General features: G+C 43.3%; 1 pseudogene, besides 1 other annotated feature; it reads left to right on the forward strand.

Moving 5' to 3' along the window:
• Positions 17,392-17,471: an enhancer, noted in NCBI's record as "active region_5601". NCBI's record gives its function as "activates an Ori minimal core promoter by ATAC-STARR-seq in GM12878 lymphoblastoid cells {active_cell/tissue: GM12878}" and the evidence as "EXISTENCE:reporter gene assay evidence [ECO:0000049][PMID:35858748]".
• COX7CP3 (COX7C pseudogene 3) lies at positions 18,226-18,415 on the forward strand (annotated as a pseudogene).

Below are 18,415 nucleotides of genomic sequence, written 5' to 3' on the forward strand. Positions count from 1 at the left end.
TGAATCTGGTCTTAACCTCATTCCCTGATATCTCTTCCCTCCAGTACCCAAGAGCAGAGTTAATCACTTCCCAGTCATCTGTGCCACCATCGTGCAAATTTCTATTACTGCAAAGTAGCAGAGTTGATTTGGTTGTAGGTTTGCCTTCCACAAGAACTGAGTCTGTCTATGTCTTATTCTTCTTTGTGTGTCCAGCACCTCACATATGGCCTGGCATTTAGTAGGTGCTCAGTAAATGCTTACTGAAGGGGCTTTTGAGTTTTTGTTTTGTTTCATTTTTGAGACAGGGCCTCACTGTGGCTCAAGCTGGAGTGTAGTGGTGCGATCTTGGCTCGCTGCAGCTTCTGCCTACCAGGTTGAAGCGATTCTTGTGCCTCAGCCTCCTGAGTAACTGGGACTACAGGCCCTCACCAACAGGCCCAGCTAATTTTTGTATTTTTTGGTAGAGGCGGGGTTTCACCATATTGGCCAGGTTGATCTCCAACTCCTGACCTCAAATGATCCACCCTGCTCAGCCTCCCAAAGTGCTGGGATTACAGGCATGAGTCGCCGCACCTGGCTAGAAAGAGCTTTTGAATCAACTACTTCCCTTTAGTCTCCTCTTCAAAAATAAACTTTCCAAAAGACCTACACACTACCTCAATTTCCACTTCCTTATCCTAGATCTCTGTACATCTAATCTATCACCAAGCCCTATGAATTCAACCTCTAAAATATTTTCTGAATATGTCCACTCCTTGTTGCCCCATTGCCTCCACCTTCATCCAGACAGATATCTTTCATTGGCCTGTTTACTGCTGTAGTCTCCTAACTAGGGCTCCCTATTTATTCTCGTGTTAGCCCCCATCTATTCTGCGCACAGCCTTAGTGATTATTTTAATGTAAATGAAAGTATCATTACTCTGCATTTTCAGTTGCTTCCCAATGAGCTGAGGATACACTCCACATTCCCTGCTCTGGTCTACAAGGACCTACACAATCTGAATTCTACCAATCCCTCCCTCTTCAACTCATGCCATGCCCTAGTTGCTCATTCGGCTCCAGCCATGCTGGCCCTTAGAGGTTCGGATCAGCTCAACTCTTTCCCACTTCACAACCTTTGAATTTACTGTTTCCTCTATCTGGAGCACTCCTCCCCTCTCCTCACACAGCTGCTGCTTCTTATTCTTTTTTTTTTTTTTTTTTTTTTTAGATGGAGTTTCACTCGCCCAGGCTAGAATGCAGTGGCACGATCTCGGCTCACTGCAACCTCCGCCTCCTGGGTTCAAACAATTCTCCAGCCTCAACCTCCCGAGTAGCTGGGATTACAGGCACCCGCCACCATGCCCGACTAATTTTTGTATTTTTAGTAGAGACAGGGTTTCACCATGTTGGCCAGGCTGGTCTCGAACTCCTGACCTCAGGTGATCCGCCCGCCTCAGCCTCCCAAAGTGCTGGGATTACAGGCGTGAGCCACCGTGCCTGGCCAGAACTGGCTTCTTAAAACAAATTTATCAGCCAATTTATCCAAACTTCATGGATTGGCACACAAGATGTCTTCTTCCAATCCTAATTCCTTCCTCCCTGTCTCTCTTGGCACCCTCTTTCCCCTCCCTCTTTCATGCCTCACCTTTACAGAAATTCAGTTCAGTTTAATAACTATTAACTGGACATCCACTGTGTTCCAGGCACTGTACTTGACTATGGGGGAGAAAATATGAATGAAAACAGATAGCTGACTTCAAGGAATTTATATTCTATTAGTAGCAAAGGTAGATAGACATATGAACAAATATAACACAATGTTCCATTCCATAATGAAGATATATACTAAGGCTAGAAGAAGTACTGAGGAAAAAGTAATTAATTCTGCAAGGGTACAATGGCATGATGCTTCAGAGAAGGTTTCAAGATGAAATTCTGAGGATTTTGAAAGTTGGGTAGGAAATGGTCAGGTGGATCAAGGACGGAAAAACATTACTGGCCGAGTCAACAACAGGTTGACTAGGATCTGGAGTGAAGTCCCGCAAGTAGCTTTAGTGTGTATGTGTGTGTTGGGGAGAGAAGTGGTGATACCTGAGGCTGGAGAGGCATCAGGAGTCACTATATCAACAGCCTCTGTTTTGGGCTATGAAGTTTGGACATTATCTTATAGGTGAGGGGAACCATTAAAGATTTCGAAGCAGCAGCAGGATGACTTAATGGGACTTTAAGGACTATTACTCTGACAACCAAATAGAGATAGATTAAGAAGGGCCAAGCATATCAGTGAGGAGGTCCCTCATCATCTCTCAGACTATGATGGAAAATGGCTCCTAACTGATCTCTTTGGCCATCTAATCCATCCTCTACCCAGCAAGAAGAGAAAGAAGGAGAGAGAGCAGAATTCACTGAGCAGATAAGTTAAATGACAGGACCTGGGGATAGGTTGGATTTGGGGAGGAAGAAGATGGAAAGAATGATGTCTAGGTTACTAGGTCTGTGTACTTGATGAGGTTGGAGGCAATAGCAACTGTCAGAGTCTAAGAGAAAGAGCAGGTTTCATGGCGGGCATGGTAAATAATGCTTTCAGAGATGCATAAGTTGAATACTGAATCTGGGGTGCCTCTAGGGAACCTACCTGGCAATATGGGACTGGAGGTAGGAGAGAGGTCAGAGGTGGAGATAGGGAAGGTACCTTCTGCATAGAGATGGCAGTTAGAACCACAGGAGTAGACATGATCTCTCAGGGAAAGGTGGGTAAAGCTGGGAAGGGGGAGAAAGGATGAGCTCAGGAAAGAGCAACACCAGGTGGAGTCAGACAGTGGAACAGGATTTGGCAAGGTGGCTGTGAAGGGAGAGACAGGCAGAGGACAGGAAAAGAGTGGTGTTCCAGCAGCCAGAAGGAGAGGGGACTTCAGGAAGAAGGAGTGGTTGGGAATTTTAAGGAAGTAAGACGAGGGCCAAAAACTACTGTTGGTTTTGGCAACTGGAAAGTCATTGCTAACCTTGGCAAGAGCATTTCCAGTATAGCACCGGGGCAGAAGACAGATTTTAGTACGGTAATTGATATTGATAATAATACCTAATGTTTATTGACTGCTTGTTATGTACCAGGTGTGCGCTGTTTTATATGAATGATCTTATTTAATCCTCACAACAACCCTCCAAAGTGAGGCAGGCACAGTTATCTCTCTCTTTAGGGGGAGGGAAACAGGCTTAATCGTAAGAATCAGTTGGGGTATAAACCCAGGTCTGTCTGTCAAGAAACTCCATACTCCACTTGATCTTAGCCAAAAGGCCAAGAGGCAATACAAACTCCATACTCTTCATGACTCTTCTTTATCCTTTCTTTCAAGTGAATGGAAGGTGAGGAAGTGGGGACACAGTCTTTTAAGAATCTTGGCTGAGGTGGGGAGCAGTGGCTCACACCTGTAATCCTAGCATTTTGGGAGACCAAGGCTGGTGGATCACCTGAGGTCAGGAGTTTGAGACCAAGCTGGGTAGCATGGTGAAACCCCGTCTCTATTAAAAATACAAAAATTCGGCCGGGAGTGGTGGCTCAGGCCTGCAATCCCAGCACTTTGGGAAGCCGAGGCAGGCAGATCCCGATGTCAGGAGTCCAGGACTAGCCTGGCCGACATAGTGAACCCCCGTCTCTACTGAAAATACAAAAATTAGCCAGGAGTGGTGTCCCGCGCCTGTAGTCTCAGCTACTTGGGAGGCTTAGACAGGAGAATTGCTTGAGTCCGGGAGGCGGAGATTACAGTGAGCTGAGACCATGCCCTTGTACCCCAGTTCTGGGTGGCAGAGTGAGCTCCTGTCTCAAAAAAAAAAAAAAAAGCCAGGGGCGGTGGCTCATGCCTGTAATCCCAGCACTTTGGGAGGCCAAGGTGGGCAGATCACCTGAGGTCAAGAGTTCGAGACCAGCCTGGCCAACACGGCGGAACCCCATCTCTACTAAAAATACAAAAATTAGCCAGGCATGGTGGCAGGTGCCTGTAATCCCAGCTACTCAGGAGGCTGAGGTAGGAGAATCGCTTGAACCCAGGAGGCGGAGGTTGCAGTGAGCCAAGATCGTGCCATTGCACTCCAGCCCGGGGGACAAGAGCAAGACTTCATCTCAAAAACAAAAAAAAAATAAAAGCAGGATTCTTCATCATATTAGAATTTCAGATAAATGAAGAAGAAAAAAGAAAAAAATCATTCTGCTATAAAAACACATGCGCATGAATGTTCATTGCAGCACTATTCACAATAGCAAAGACATGTAATCAAACTAAATGCCCATTAATGATGGATTGGATAAAGAAGATGTGGCACATATGTACCATGGAATATTATGCAGCCATAAAAAATGAGATCATGTCTTTTGTGGGAACATAACTGGACTGGAGCTGGAGGCTATCATCCTTAGCAAATTAAGACAGGAACAGAGCCCCAGATATCACATGCTCTCACTTTTAAGTGGGAGCTAAATGATAAGAACTTATGAACACAAAGAAGGGAACAACAGACACTGGGGCCTACTTGAGAGTGGAGGGTGGGAGGAGGGAGAGGAGCAGAAGAGATCACTATTGGCTACTGGGCTTAATACCTGGGTGATGCAATAATATGTACAACAAACACTCATGACACATGTTTACCTACGTAACAAACCTTCACATATACCCCCAAACCAAAAATAAAAGTTAAAAAAAAAGTGTAGACATATATGCATACTCCTTAGCTCTATGCACCAAGACAGTTTGGAAATGGTCATACTCTAATAGCAGTTAACACCCCTAGTCCCAAATCTTGGTCTCTAAATACCGTTCTCCACTAAAAGAAACCAGGGATCCTTGGAGAAATGATTGATTTCAGGGCTGAGACAAGGAAAGTACAAGATGAACTCAGACCATCTTGCTGTGGCAGAAAGTAAAGAAGTGCTTAAAGAATGACAGAGATATGTCAACAGGATGTCAAAGGGGCTTGAAGGGGGCTCCCCTAACCAACTCTGAGCATCAAAATAAATAATGACAGTAAAAGGTCATAATCTATCAAATGAAGTGGGAATCCACATGTTCATACTGATAAGAATAAAAGAATACATAAACAAATGAGAACATCTTTCTTTACAGCAGAATAACAACTAATAAATTTAGAAGGAACAATGAAATTGAAAAAACCACTATTAGGCAAACTTCATAGTAATAATTCATTCAGCAAAAAAAAAAAACTAAAAATAGTGAGGAAAACTATGATAAGGAACAGGATATGTACCTCAAAGAAGTACCTTTCCACAAAACACTTACTAATTACAAAGGGCAAAAGAGTAACTTTACAGTGGAAAGACCTAGCAGACACCACCTTAATCCAGGTCAAAGTTAACATTCTGGTGAGGTTTGGATTAAAAACAAATCAAATATGCAAACAAAATAAACGATTGTATCAAATTTTTTTTAAAAAGAGAACAAAGTTAACATTCTCAATAATGGTACAAATTGAAATCAGGTACCACCAGATGGGAGGCAATAACACAGTATCACTTCTGTCCTATTCCTGCCAAAAAAAAAGAAACACTGAGAAATTGTTCCAGATTGAAAGAAACATGAGCCAGGTGTGCAGTGGCTCACGCTTGTAATCCCAGCACTTTGGGAGGCTGAGGCGGGCAGATCACCTGAGGTCAGGAGTTTGAGACCAGCCTGGCCAACGTGGCAAAACCCCGTCTCTACTAAAAATAAAAAAAATAGCTGCGTGCGGTGGCAGGTACCTGTAGTCCCAACTATTTGGAAGGCTGAGACAGGAGAATCGCTTGTACCCAGGCTGTGGAGGTTGCAGTGAGCTGAGATCTCGCCACTGCACTCTGGCCTGGGTGACAGAGCAAGACTCCATCTCAATTAAAAAAAAGAGAGAGAAAAGAAAAGAAAGAAAGAAACATGAAAACAAATGCAATGCATGGTCCTGGAAGAGACCCTTTTAATATAAAGGACAGTATTAGGGCCGGGCATGGCAGCTCACACCTGTAACCTAGCACTTTAGGAGGCTGAGGGAGGAGGATTGCTTGAGCCCAAGAGTTCAAGACCAGCCTGGGCAATATAGGGACCTATCTCTATGAAAAACTTTTTTAAAAATTTGCCAGGCATGGTTGTGCACATCTGTACTCCTAGCTACTCAGGAGGCTGAGGCAGGAGGATCCCTTGGGAAGAACAGTTCCAGACTATGCTATGATGGCACCACTGCACTCCAGTCTGGGCAATAGAGTGAGACCCTGTCTGAAAAAAAAAGGGGGGGTAGGGGGGACAGTAGTGGGACAATTAGAGAAATCTGATCTGGGCCTGTGGGTTAGATGGCTGTCATATACTTGTTTGAGTGTGTACTCATGTTGGGAGGATGGGCATTGTGTTGGAAATTTAATCTTGGATGGTTCAGAAAAAAAGTTCTTGAAATTTTTTTTAAATTTAAAATTCTTTCAGCATAAAATGAAAAATAAAATTTTAAAATCTATCAGTAATTCCTCTGATAAATAAGATAAGCTATTGAATTAATGGAACAAAAACAGTACACATAAAGAGAAACTTTCATAAACAAGAAAGAGCTCTTGGAAATTAAAAATATGATAGAAAATTTGTTTAAGTGTTCAACAGAAAATGTACAAAGTAAAATTGAAGAAATCTTAGAGATAAAAGACAAACATAGAAAACAGAGGAGGATGGCCGGGTGCGGTAACTCATACCTGTAATTCTGGCACTTTGGGAGGCCAAGGCAGGAGGATCACTTGAGCCCAGGAGTTCAAGACCAGCCTTGGCAACACAGTGAGTCCATGTCTCTACAAAAAATTTAAAAATTAGCTGGGTGCGGTGGCAGTCACCTATAGTCCCAGGTACTAGGGGTTTAGGGGAGCTGAGGTGGGAGGGATCGCTTGAGCCCTTGAGTCAAGGCTGCAGTGAGCTATGATTGTACCACTGCACTCTAGCCTGGGCAACAGAGCTGAGACCCTGTCTCAAAAACAAACAAACAAAAAGAAAATGGAGGAGGAAAACACAAAATACAAGCTCCAAGGCAATTAGATTAGGCCAGGAGATCCAGCATCTAACTAATGGGTGTTCAAAAGAAAAACAACATAGAAATCAGAAGGGAAGAAATCATCAAGCAAGTAATAAAGACTAATCCCCATATTGAAGGATACGAATCGCTAGATTGAAACGTCCCATCTAGTGCCAGCACAGTCAATGAAAACAGACCCACAGCAAGGCACATCATCAAGAAATATCAGAAAATCAAAGACAAAGAGAAGAGGTCTCAGAAAGGGAAAACCTAAACTAAACAAAAACAGGCCACATAGAAGAGCTTAGGAATCAAAATGACTTTAGACCTATTAACAGCCACACTGACACCGGAAGGCAATGAAGGAGTGCCTTGAAGATTCAGAAGGAAAATTCTGTACAACCTAGAATCCTAAATAGAGCCAAACTTTTGTATGAAGTATGAAAGCAAACACACATATTTTCAAGCATGCAAGGTCTCCAAAAATTTATTTCTCATCTATATTTTATTCAGGAAGCTACTGGGGGATATGTGTCACCAAAATAAGGACATAAGCCAAGAAGGAGGAAAATATGGGATGAGGCGATACAATGGGAGAAAAAGGTAAAGGGGATCTCTAGAAGGTGATGAGGAGAGGTCAGAAGACAGCTCTGCACCAGGAGTAGTAGCAAATGACAGAAACCGAATGCAAACTAGTTTAAGCAAAATAAAAATATTGGCTTGGCATGATGGCTCACGCCTATAATCCCAGCACTTTGAGCGGCCAAGGTGGGTGGATCACTTGGCGCCAGGAGTTCGAGACCAGCCTGGTCAACATGGCTGATACGGTTTGGCTGTGTCCCCACCCAGAATCTCTTCTTGAATTGTAATCCCTATAATCCCCACGTGTCAAAGGCAGGACCAGTTGGAGGTAATTAGATCACGGGGCAGTTTCCCCATGCTATTCTCATGATAGTGAGTCTCATGAGATCTGATGGTTTTATAAGCATCTGACATTTCCCCTGCTTGCACTCACTCCATCCTGCCGCCCTGTGAAGGAGGTGCCTGCTCCTCCTTTGCCTGCCATGATTGTAAGTTTCCTGAGGCCTCCCAAGCAATGTGGAACTGTGAGTCAATTAAACCTCTTTCCTTTATAAAGGGTATTTCTTCACAGCAATGTGAGAACGGAATAATACAATGGTGGAACCCCGTCTCTACTAAAAATACAAAGATTAGACAGGCATGGTGGCACACACCTGTGATCCCAGCTTCTCGGGAGGCTGAGGCATGAGAATGGCTTGAACCTGGGAGTGGAGGTTACAGTGAGCCAAGATAGCGCCACCGCACTTCAGCCTGGGTGACAGAGTGAGACTGTGTCTCAAAAAATATATATATTTAAAATATATATATATATATATATATATATACAAAATGTTGATATGTGTGGTGGGGTAGGTGAAGGAGTTTGTGCAAACTGAAAAGTCCAAGATTCAGGTTTTCAAATGCTGTTGTCAAGTTTGTCTCTCTTTCGGCTGTTTTCCTGTATTTAGGCTCTTTGTGTGGCAGCAAGAGGGACTCTGGAAGCTCAGGTTTACCTGCTAGTTTATGCATAAGATAACAACAGGGCCAGGTATGGTGGCTCGCACCTATAATCCCAACACTTTGGGAGGCTGAGGCAGGAGGATTGCTTGAGCTCAGGAGTTCCAGACCAGCCTGTGCAACATGGTGAGACCCCCATCTCTACCAAAACTACAAAAAATTTTAAAAATTAGCCAGGTAAGGTGGCCTGTGCCTGTAGTCCCAGCTACTAGGGAGGCTGACGTGGGAGGATCCCTTGAGCCCAGGAGGTTAGAGGCTAGCATTGAGCTGTGATCATGCCACTGGAGGACTCTAGCCTGGTCAATAGAGCACGAGCCTGTCTCAAAAAATACAGAAAGAAAAACAAAAGCATCATGATAACGTCACGATAACACTTTCCTGATGACGCTCATGAAACTCCCAGGGCAGATTCTAACAGGCCCAGCTTGGGTCATGTGTCCATCCCACAACCAATCATTGGTAAGGGAGATGGAATATTCTGATTGGCCAGGCAAGGTCAAGTCCCCAGCCCCAGGGCTATGATCCAAAGACAATGATATCACCTGCAAAGGTCTGATGAGCACTTTGTAATTGGTAAAGTGTGCAAATGTAACAATTATCACCTGTCCATAGCAGATTAGACCGTATATTAGAAGGAAAGAGAGTCTGTATTAAGTAAGCTCTACCCTTACAGCAAAGAGAAGTAGAAGTGGATAACAGGGAGACTGACAGGAAAAACTATACAAATTCCACATAGAAGTGCAGCATTCTGGGACATTTGCTGTAGAAAAAAATGGTTCTACAAACTTTATTATATAACATTGTTATCACCATGATCTATTTAGAAAAGGTTTGGGGGTTTTTTGTTTTGGTTTTGGGTTTTTTTGGTTGTTTTTGTTTGTTTGTTTGTTTTGAGACAGGGTCGCACTGTGTCACGCAGGCTGAAGTGCAATGGTGCAGTCACGGCTCATTGCAGCCTCAACCTACCTGGGCTCAAGCAATCCTCCCACCTCAGCGTCCCGGGTAGCTCTGACTACAGGTATGTGCCGCAACATCCAGCTAGTTTTTAATTTTTTTGTGGAGACTGAGTCTTGCTATGTTGCCCAGACTGGTTTCAAGCTCCTGAGTTCAAGTGATCCTCCAACCTCAGCCTCCCAAAGTGCTGGGATTACAGGTGTGAGGCGGAAAAGTGTAATATACATTTTAAAATTCATGTCTGGAGAAGTCATCCTTGTCTGTGTGTTTAACTTGTCTATCCAGAATGACTTTTTCCAAAGTTGCCAGGTAGCTGGTGATTTAATAGGGACCCTGTCCTAGTGGAGAGTCAATCTCATTCAGAAGATGATGTAGGTTTATTACAGGACAGCAAACAGTGAAAACTAAATTGGCCATTTATACATTAAGTTCTATATACTAATTATGTTTTCAGTTCCACACTCCAAAACAGAATATCGAATTGGGTGGGTCCCTTAAAGTAGGGCAATTCTCATGTTTACATGTTAAGCTTGCTTGGCCAGAACTTGCTACCCTAAAAATATACTCACTCTACTCACATGTAGGATGTAAACACATCCCTCTTTGCAGATCTGTGTTTAATCTCTTGGGTTCTCTTTAGCAATTTCCTCATTAGTAAGTTGTGTGTTGGTGGAAAGTGCTCCCAGCAGCAAAAACACAAGCAGGTGCATAACATGTGGATTATCATGCTGATAGCACTTATCCCAGAAGATGACACATCTCACCCTTTTTCCATTTTACAAACAGCTCTGACATTAGATCCACCTGTTACTTCAGGACATTTCAGGAGCTTTTCCTCAGAAAGTCCAATCTCCTCCCCAGCTGATCTGCTTCTCATCCCATTAGCAATGTCACCACACTTTATGCCGTGTGCGATCATATCCTTCCCCAAGTTATGACTATATCGTAGGGAGAAGAAAAGAGAAGAGAGAAGGAGAAGGCAAAGGAGAGAATAATTAATTCATAGTTCATTTATTAACTTCCTAGGCTTTGATTACTTGCCTGAATCCATTTTCTTCATATTTGGGCTGTACAGTAACCTGATTCTTTTGTTTTCTTCTGAGACAGGATCTTGCTCTGTCGCCCAACCTGGAGTGCTGTGGCACCATCTCGGTTCATTGCAACCTTGACCTCCGCAGGCTCAGGTGATCCTCCCCACTCAGCCTCCTGGGTAGCTGGGACCACAGGTGCACACCACCATGCCTGGCTAATTTTTGTATTTTTTGAGACAGAGTCTCACTGTGTTGCCCAGGCTGGTCTTGAACTCCTGGGCTCAAGCAATCCTCCTGCCTTGGCCTCCCAAAGTGCTGGGATTATAGGCGTGAGCCACCATGGCCAGCCTCAATTAATCTTTATATTCTCATTTCCCAGTATATTCTTCATCCTTCTTCATCTGCTTATCCTCAAAACCTCAGCTCAAAGCCATAAGGCCTTAAGTCTGTTTCCCTCATTAGAACATAAGTTCAACCTGGCAGGGTGGCTCACACCTGTAATCCCAGCACTTTGGGAGGCCCAGGCGGGAAAATTGCTTGAGCCCAGGAGTTTGATACCAGCCTGGACAACATGGGAAAACCCCACCTCTACAAAAAATACAAAAATTAGCCAGGCATGTTGGTGTGCACCTGTGATCCCAGATACTCAAGAGGCTAAGATGGGAGGATCACTTGAGCCAGCAAGGTGGAGACTGCAATGAACTAAGATCATGCCACTGAACTCCAGCTTGGGTGACAGAATGAGACCCTGTCTCAGAAAAAGACAAAAAGAAAAAGAAAAAAAAAGAAAATCTATCACTCTTCCATCTTTTCCCTGTACCTATAATTTATTCATTCAGCAAATATGTATGGATTGCCTACTCTATGTCAGGCAGTGTGTGGCTGAATGGTTCTCCTGTTATAATAATAATGATAATAACTTAAAAGAGAATAATGTTTATCAAGGCCAGCCTGAGCAACATAAGGAGACCCCATCCCTACAAAAAATAAAATTAAGTTAAAAAAAATCAGGGCTGGGCAAGGTGGCTCACGCCTGTAATCCTAGCACTTTGGGAGGCCAAGGCAGGCAAATTGCCTGAGCTCAGGAGTTCAAGACCAGCCTGGTCAACATGGCAAAACCTCGTCTCTACTAAAAATACGAAAAATTAGCAGGACGTGGTGGCATGCCCTTGTAATCCCAGCTACTCAGGAGGCTGAGGCATGAGAATCGCTTGAACCCGGGAAGCAGAGGCTACAGTGAGTCGAGATAGTGCCACTGCACTCTAGCCTGGGTGACAAAGCGAGACTCTGTCTCCAAAAATAAATAAATGAATAAAAATAATTATTTTTGTTGAGACGGTCTCACTCTGTTGCCCAGGCTGGAGTGCAGTGGTGCCATCTTGCCTCACTGCAGCCTCAACTTCCTGGGATCAAGTGATCCGCCCCAGCCTCCCGAGTAGCTGGGAATACAGGTGCATGCTATCCTGCCCAGCTAATTTTTGTACTTTTTGTATACTCTGGGTTTCACCATGTTGACCAGGCTGGTCTCGAACTTAGCTTAAGCGATCCACCCACCTCAGACTCCCAAAGTGCTGGGATTATAGGCGTGAGCCACCGTGCCTGGCCAAATTAAGTTAAATCAAATTAAAATTTTTAAAAAAGAATGTCACAGAAATGGAATCATACAGTGATTAACTTTTTTCACATGCTGTATATAAATTCACAATCCATTTTGAATTAATTTTTGTGTAAGATGTGAAGTTTAGGCCGGGTGCAGTGGCTCACGCCTGTAATCCCAGCACTTTGGGAGTCTGAGGTGGGTGGATGGATCGCTTAAGCTAAGTTCAAAACCAGCCTGGTCAACATGGTGAAACCCCATCTCCTCTAAAAATACAAAAAATTAGCCGGGCATGGTGGTGTGCACCTGTAATCCCAGCTACTCAGGAGGCTAAAGCAGGAGAATCACTGGAACCCAAGAGGTGGAGGTTGCAGTGAGCCAAGATTTCACCACTGTACTCCAGCCTGGGCAACAAAAGCAAAACTCTGTCTCAAAAAAAAAAAAAAGTGACATTTAGGTCAAGGTTCTTTTTTTTTTTCTTTTGCCTATGGATGTCCAATTTCTACAGGGCTATTCATTGAAAAGACTATTCTTCCTCCATTGAATTGCTTTTGCTCCTTTGTCAAAAATCAATTTCTGGCTTGTTCCATTGACCTGTGTATCTGTCACTACTCCATACTGTTTAAATTACTATATCTTTACAGTGAGTCTGTAGCAATACAGTAAATCTTAACATCAGACAGAATGATTGCTTCCAGATTATTCTTCTGTTTCCAAATTGTTTTAGCTATTCTAGCTCCTTCGACTTTCTGTATAAATTTTAGAATAAGCTTGTCTTCACTTACAGAAAATCTTGCTGGACTCTTCAATTTTAATAATTTTAAAGTTTTCTTCATTTCATTTATTTAATGTGTATTAGCTTTTAAAATGATTTATTCTATTGTATGTCACACAGATGGTCAGAAGACACCAAATTTCCTATGTTTCTAAGAGGTAGGGCAAGCCCTCTTTTGTCATGGTAGTCATCAAATAATTCCATACGTTATCTTTACAAGTGTTCCTTAAACCTCACAGCAACCCTAAGAGGAATATACTAGTAGTCTCTCTGTTTTACAGATGAGGAAACTGAGGCATGGATAGATTACATAACATGTCCAGTGTCTCATAGCTAGAAAGTGGCAGAGTTGGGATTTGAACCAAAGCAATCTGGTTCCAGAACACATACTGTTATCCTCTGTGCTATGCTGTTCTGTTTGAATATAGTTATCTCATCCAAGAAATTTTTATTCAGTGCCTATTATGTGCCAAGGACTGTTCTAGGTGCTGTGTGTTCTAGGTGTCCTATGGCACCCATGAGTAAAATAAAAATAAAATAAAGCAGTGATTAAGACAAAATCCCAGCTCCCATGGAGCTTCTATTGTAAAGGGGGAGAATTTACTGTATTAATGCAATAATTATTGTTTTGTTGAAGTATTATTTTATTATTTGATTTATATTGAGAACACAGACACTTTAAATATAGGAGCTGGGATCTTACCCAAAAGATATGCTTATTCACTGGATATAAATACTCACCATAATTCTACCAATCTTCTGGAGACTGAAAAATCCCTCAGTTGGGAGATAGATAAAACCATCTTGGGCCGGGCGTGGTGGCTCATGGCTGTAATCCCAGCATTTTGGGAGGCGGAGGCGGGCGGATCACGAGGTTAGGAGATCAAGACCATCCTGCTAACACAGTGAAACCCCGTCTCTACTAAAAACACAAAAAAATTAGCTGAGCCTGGTGGCACGCGCTGGTAGTCCCAGCTACTCAGGAGGCTGAGGCAGGACAATCGCTTGAACCCAGGAGGCAGAGGTTGCCACGAGCCAAGATCACACCATTGCACTCCAGCCTGGGTGACAGAGTGAAACTCTCTCAAAACAAACAAACAAACAAACAAACAAACAAACAAAAAACCATCTTGACTTCAAACACCATAGATTAGTTTTAACTATTTTAGAACTTTAGATAAAATTATACGGTATATTTTCCTTTCTGACTTCTTTTGCTCAACATTATGTTGGTAAGATTCACACATTTGTCGCATGTAGTTGTAGTTTGTTCATTCTTGTTGTGCTGTTCCATTGAGTGAAATAACCTAGTTTATCCATTCTATTGCATGTGGAGATAGAGATTGTCTCCAATGGCCGGGCGCGGTGGCTCACGCCTGTAATCCCAGCATTCTGGGAGGCCGAGGTGGGTGGATCACTTGAGGCCAGGCGTTCGAGACCAGCCTGGCCAACATGGTGAAACCCCGTCTCCACTAAAAATACAAAAATTAGCCGGGCATGATGGTGCATGCTTGTAATCCCAGCTACTCAGGAGGCTGAGGCAGGTGGATGACTTGAACCCGGGAGGTGGAGGTTGCGGTGAGCCGAGATAGTGCCACTGCACTCCAGCCCAGGTGACAGAGCTAGACTCTCTCTCAAAAAACAAACAAACAAAAAATATGATTGTCTCTTTTTGACTTACAAATGTTATATATTTTAATAAAAATATATTAAAATACATTATAATATATTAAAATATATTATAATAAAAATAATATTAATATTAATATTTGACTTACAAATATAAATAGTATATGATTATGGTCAGTTTTAATACGGCCAAACAATTTTCTAAAGTCATACCATTGTTTCATACTGCTTTCAAAAATGTTCTTTTGTTTTCCCTTATATTTAGCAAAATATTTTGTTGAGGACTCCAACTCATTTCATCTACAAACAAAAGTTTAAAAATCTATGCTTAGACCAAAGGGATGGAAAAAGAACAGCAAAGACACAGGAAACCTGAGGGAGGAGGAAACTGGGACAGATTCAGGACTGTTTGGCCAGCCAGTTCTTCCTGTAAGATATTCTCTTTCAAGAGCTAAGCTTTGGGGGTTCTAATTCTGTTTTAATAAAACACAGTGTTCCTTTACATAGTTGAACTGAATTGTTTTCCAACAAATATGAATTAAATTGCCTCATTATTTATTTAGGTTAAACAATTAAACTGTAAGCTTAAGAGGAAAGGGACCTTGTACATTCTTCAACATTATAGCCTCAGACATAACAGATGCTCAATAAATGTTTGGATAAATGAATGAATAAATAAATGAATCAGTTTCCTAAAACTTAGCAACTATCTATCATGACCTGATGTAGCATAGTTGGTTCATTATGCTGTGTCTCAAATTCAATGATCCAGGCCTTTCTCCTGAGTCTACCCCAAATACCATGAGACTATATTGGAGCTCTCTTGGGATTATACATGGAGGATCAATAGGCTGGACAACCCCACTCCCTCAGACAGTCAGCCTGGCACTGCCCTTATAGAGATCCTGGTCAAACAGTAGACATAGGCCAAGCACGGTGGCTCAAGCCTGTAATCCCAGCACTTTGGGAGGCCGAGTTGGGAGGATCACTTGAGGCCAGGAGTTTGAGACCAGCCTGGGCAACATGGTGAGACCTCATTTCCATTAAAAATAAAAAATTTAGCCATGCATGGTGTCATGCACCTGCACTTCCCAGCTATTCATGAGGCTGAAGCGGGATGATTTCTTGAGCCTGAGAAGTCAAGGCTACAGTAAGCTGTGATTAGCCTGGGCGACAGAGCGAGACCCTGTCTCAAAAAAAAAAAAAAAAAAGAGATAATTTATGAAAGAATATGTACACACACTCAGAATGATGCATGTGGCTTAACTGTTTACAAGTGTGAATAAATGGCTCATTTACATAGAGTATCACATTTAATCCTCTCAAAGCCCTAAGGGGCTTGTTATTATAATCTTCATTTTATAAATGAGGCAGTTCAGAGAAATGAGGTGAGTTGTTAAAGGTCACAACCAGTAATTGTTAAAGCCTCAATTTAAACTTAGGTCTGTCTAGAGCCTGAGATTTTAAGAATTATGTGTGCATAAATAATTTAAAAATTAAATTTTCTTTGGCTCTCAAGGACATGTATTTTTGCATCTGATTTCAATTAAGCTAAATACATTTGGTGCCGACTAGGTACCGAAGACATTTATATAACTTAAGATAATATCACAATGTATTTACCTTCTCTAAGCACTCCTTCAGCTTCCCTGATTAGGAGGCGGCTGGGCCTTGAAAGAAAACTTCCTTTCTGATGTACGGAACAGAGGACTAGGAGCCTGCGTGAGTAGGTCTTAGGGTGAAGGAAGCCTTTTCAGAAGGGGAGATGAGGGAGAGAGGAAAATGAATTGGCAGGAAAAAGGCAGAAAAGGTATATTTCAAGAGGGAAGTCTGAAAATTATTTCCATCAGAGCTTTCTGTGACTTGTTTTAATGATAGCCATCCAGGCTTTTTATTTTATTTATTTATTTTATTTTATTTTGAGATGGAGTCTCACTCTGTTGCCCAGGCTGGAGTAGAATGGCGCGATCTCAGCTCACTGCAACCTCCGCCTCCTGGGTTCAAGCGATTCTCCTGCCTCAGTCTCCTGAGTAGCTGGGACTACAGGCGCCCACTACCACACCCGGCTAATTTTTGTGGTTTTTTTAGTAGAGACAGGGTTTCACTATATTGGCCAGGCTGGTCTCAAACTCCTGAACTTGTGATCCACCCATCTCGGCCTCCCAAAGTGCTGCGATTACAGGCATGAGCCACCGCGCCTGGCCAGCCATCCAGTTCTTGAAGGCCAAAGAAAGCATAATAAACCTGAAGATTCTTGGCAGATCCTGGCATTGCTGGACTGCAGGGTGCATAAACACCCTGGGTGACAGATGACGTGGCCGGCCATCTCAGGCCCATCCCTGTGCACTGGGTCTGGACGGTGCCAGCTCCTTGGCAACACTGCAGGCTGTTATGACCCTGTGCCAGGGCGGGGGAGGGGCCGAGCACCAGGTGACGTGGCAACACCGCAGTCAAAGGAAAGCCATGCTAAGAGGCCACTGCCCCGCAGTCCTGTGACAGGCAAGGGGAATGCAGGAATATTGGGGAAGAGGGGAGGGGTGGAGGGGAAGGATCATTGTTGCACGGCTCTAGCAAGAAAGAAAATCTAAAATTCTGCTTCATGGCTCAGCTCCCAGCACAGCTAATGCTTGGAATGGACCAGTTGCCTGGACAGTTTCAATTATTTGTCATAAGCAGCTCAGGCCTTGGTGTGCAGATTTCCTTTGCCCCTCAGTTTCAGATAGCCCACTGTGGCCCCTGCTCATGATTCAGACTGAAATAGCTGCCTGTTTTGCATGCCAGTTAAGCCTGCATTTCAGTTCTTGTTTCTTTGAAAGGACCTGTCAGGGAAGCAGTATGAAATGTCAGGTTCCGGTTTGGTATTCCCCCTCTACCTTCAACCTTGTAGCTTGACTTTTGTGGGATTCCCACTCATGCTCAGAGTCCCCTCATGCGAATAGGCTTATCTAATTCACAAGTAGCTCGGTGATGTGATGATGCCTGGCCCTGTGAAATCATATTTTTTCACCTTACATCACCTTCCATGGACTGGCTGGAATTCAGATTAGTTAGCCATCCCATTCTTGCTTGGACATGCTTATTAAAGATAGAGGATATTGGCCAGGCGCAGTGGCTCATGCCTGTAACCCCAGCCCTTTAGGAGGCTGAGGCAGGTGAATCATCCAAGGTCAGGAGTTCAAGACCAGCCTGGCCAACGTGGTGAAACTCCGTCTCTACTAAAAATACAAAAAATTAGCCGGGTGTGGTGGCACGCACCTGTATTCCCAGCTACTCGGGAGGCTGAGGCAGGAGAATTGCTTGAACCCAGGAGGCAGAGGTTGCAGGGAGCCGAGATCGTGCCACTGCCCTCCAGCCTGGGCAACAGAGTGGGACTCCATCTCAAAAAAAAAAAAAGGCATTATCAATTATCAAGGAATTATCAATTTCTTCCTACAAAATAACTGAGGAGTCCTACATAGATCTTTACAATTGTCTGTGTAGAAGTTCAAACTCCTGAAAGTTGGCTAGTCCTTGTTCATATCTACCCCATACCTGTGTTAATACCGTTTACATTTACTCTTTCAGACACAGGGGAACAAGGTCCTGAGCAAAGGAGGACTTGGTATGAACAAGTGGGTTTGGTGCCGCCATTGCTTCTGGCTTGGGTCTCTGCAACTTTGGTGGAGCTTCCAAGAGCTCCATGTGGGGACGGAGCATTAGATGGTTGACAACATCTGTGGTCTGCAGGAGCCACTATGCGGAGGGCCCAGGGAAGAATTTGCCATTTTCAATGAAAAACACGTGGCAGTTACTAATTATGATGACTTTGTACTGGGATCGGGATCTGCGGCACCCTTCTTTAAAGTAAAACACCAACTGCTTAAGAAA

Source organism: Homo sapiens, chromosome 11 (assembly GCF_000001405.40).
Source record: "Homo sapiens chromosome 11, GRCh38.p14 Primary Assembly".
Taxonomy (NCBI): domain Eukaryota; kingdom Metazoa; phylum Chordata; class Mammalia; order Primates; family Hominidae; genus Homo; species Homo sapiens.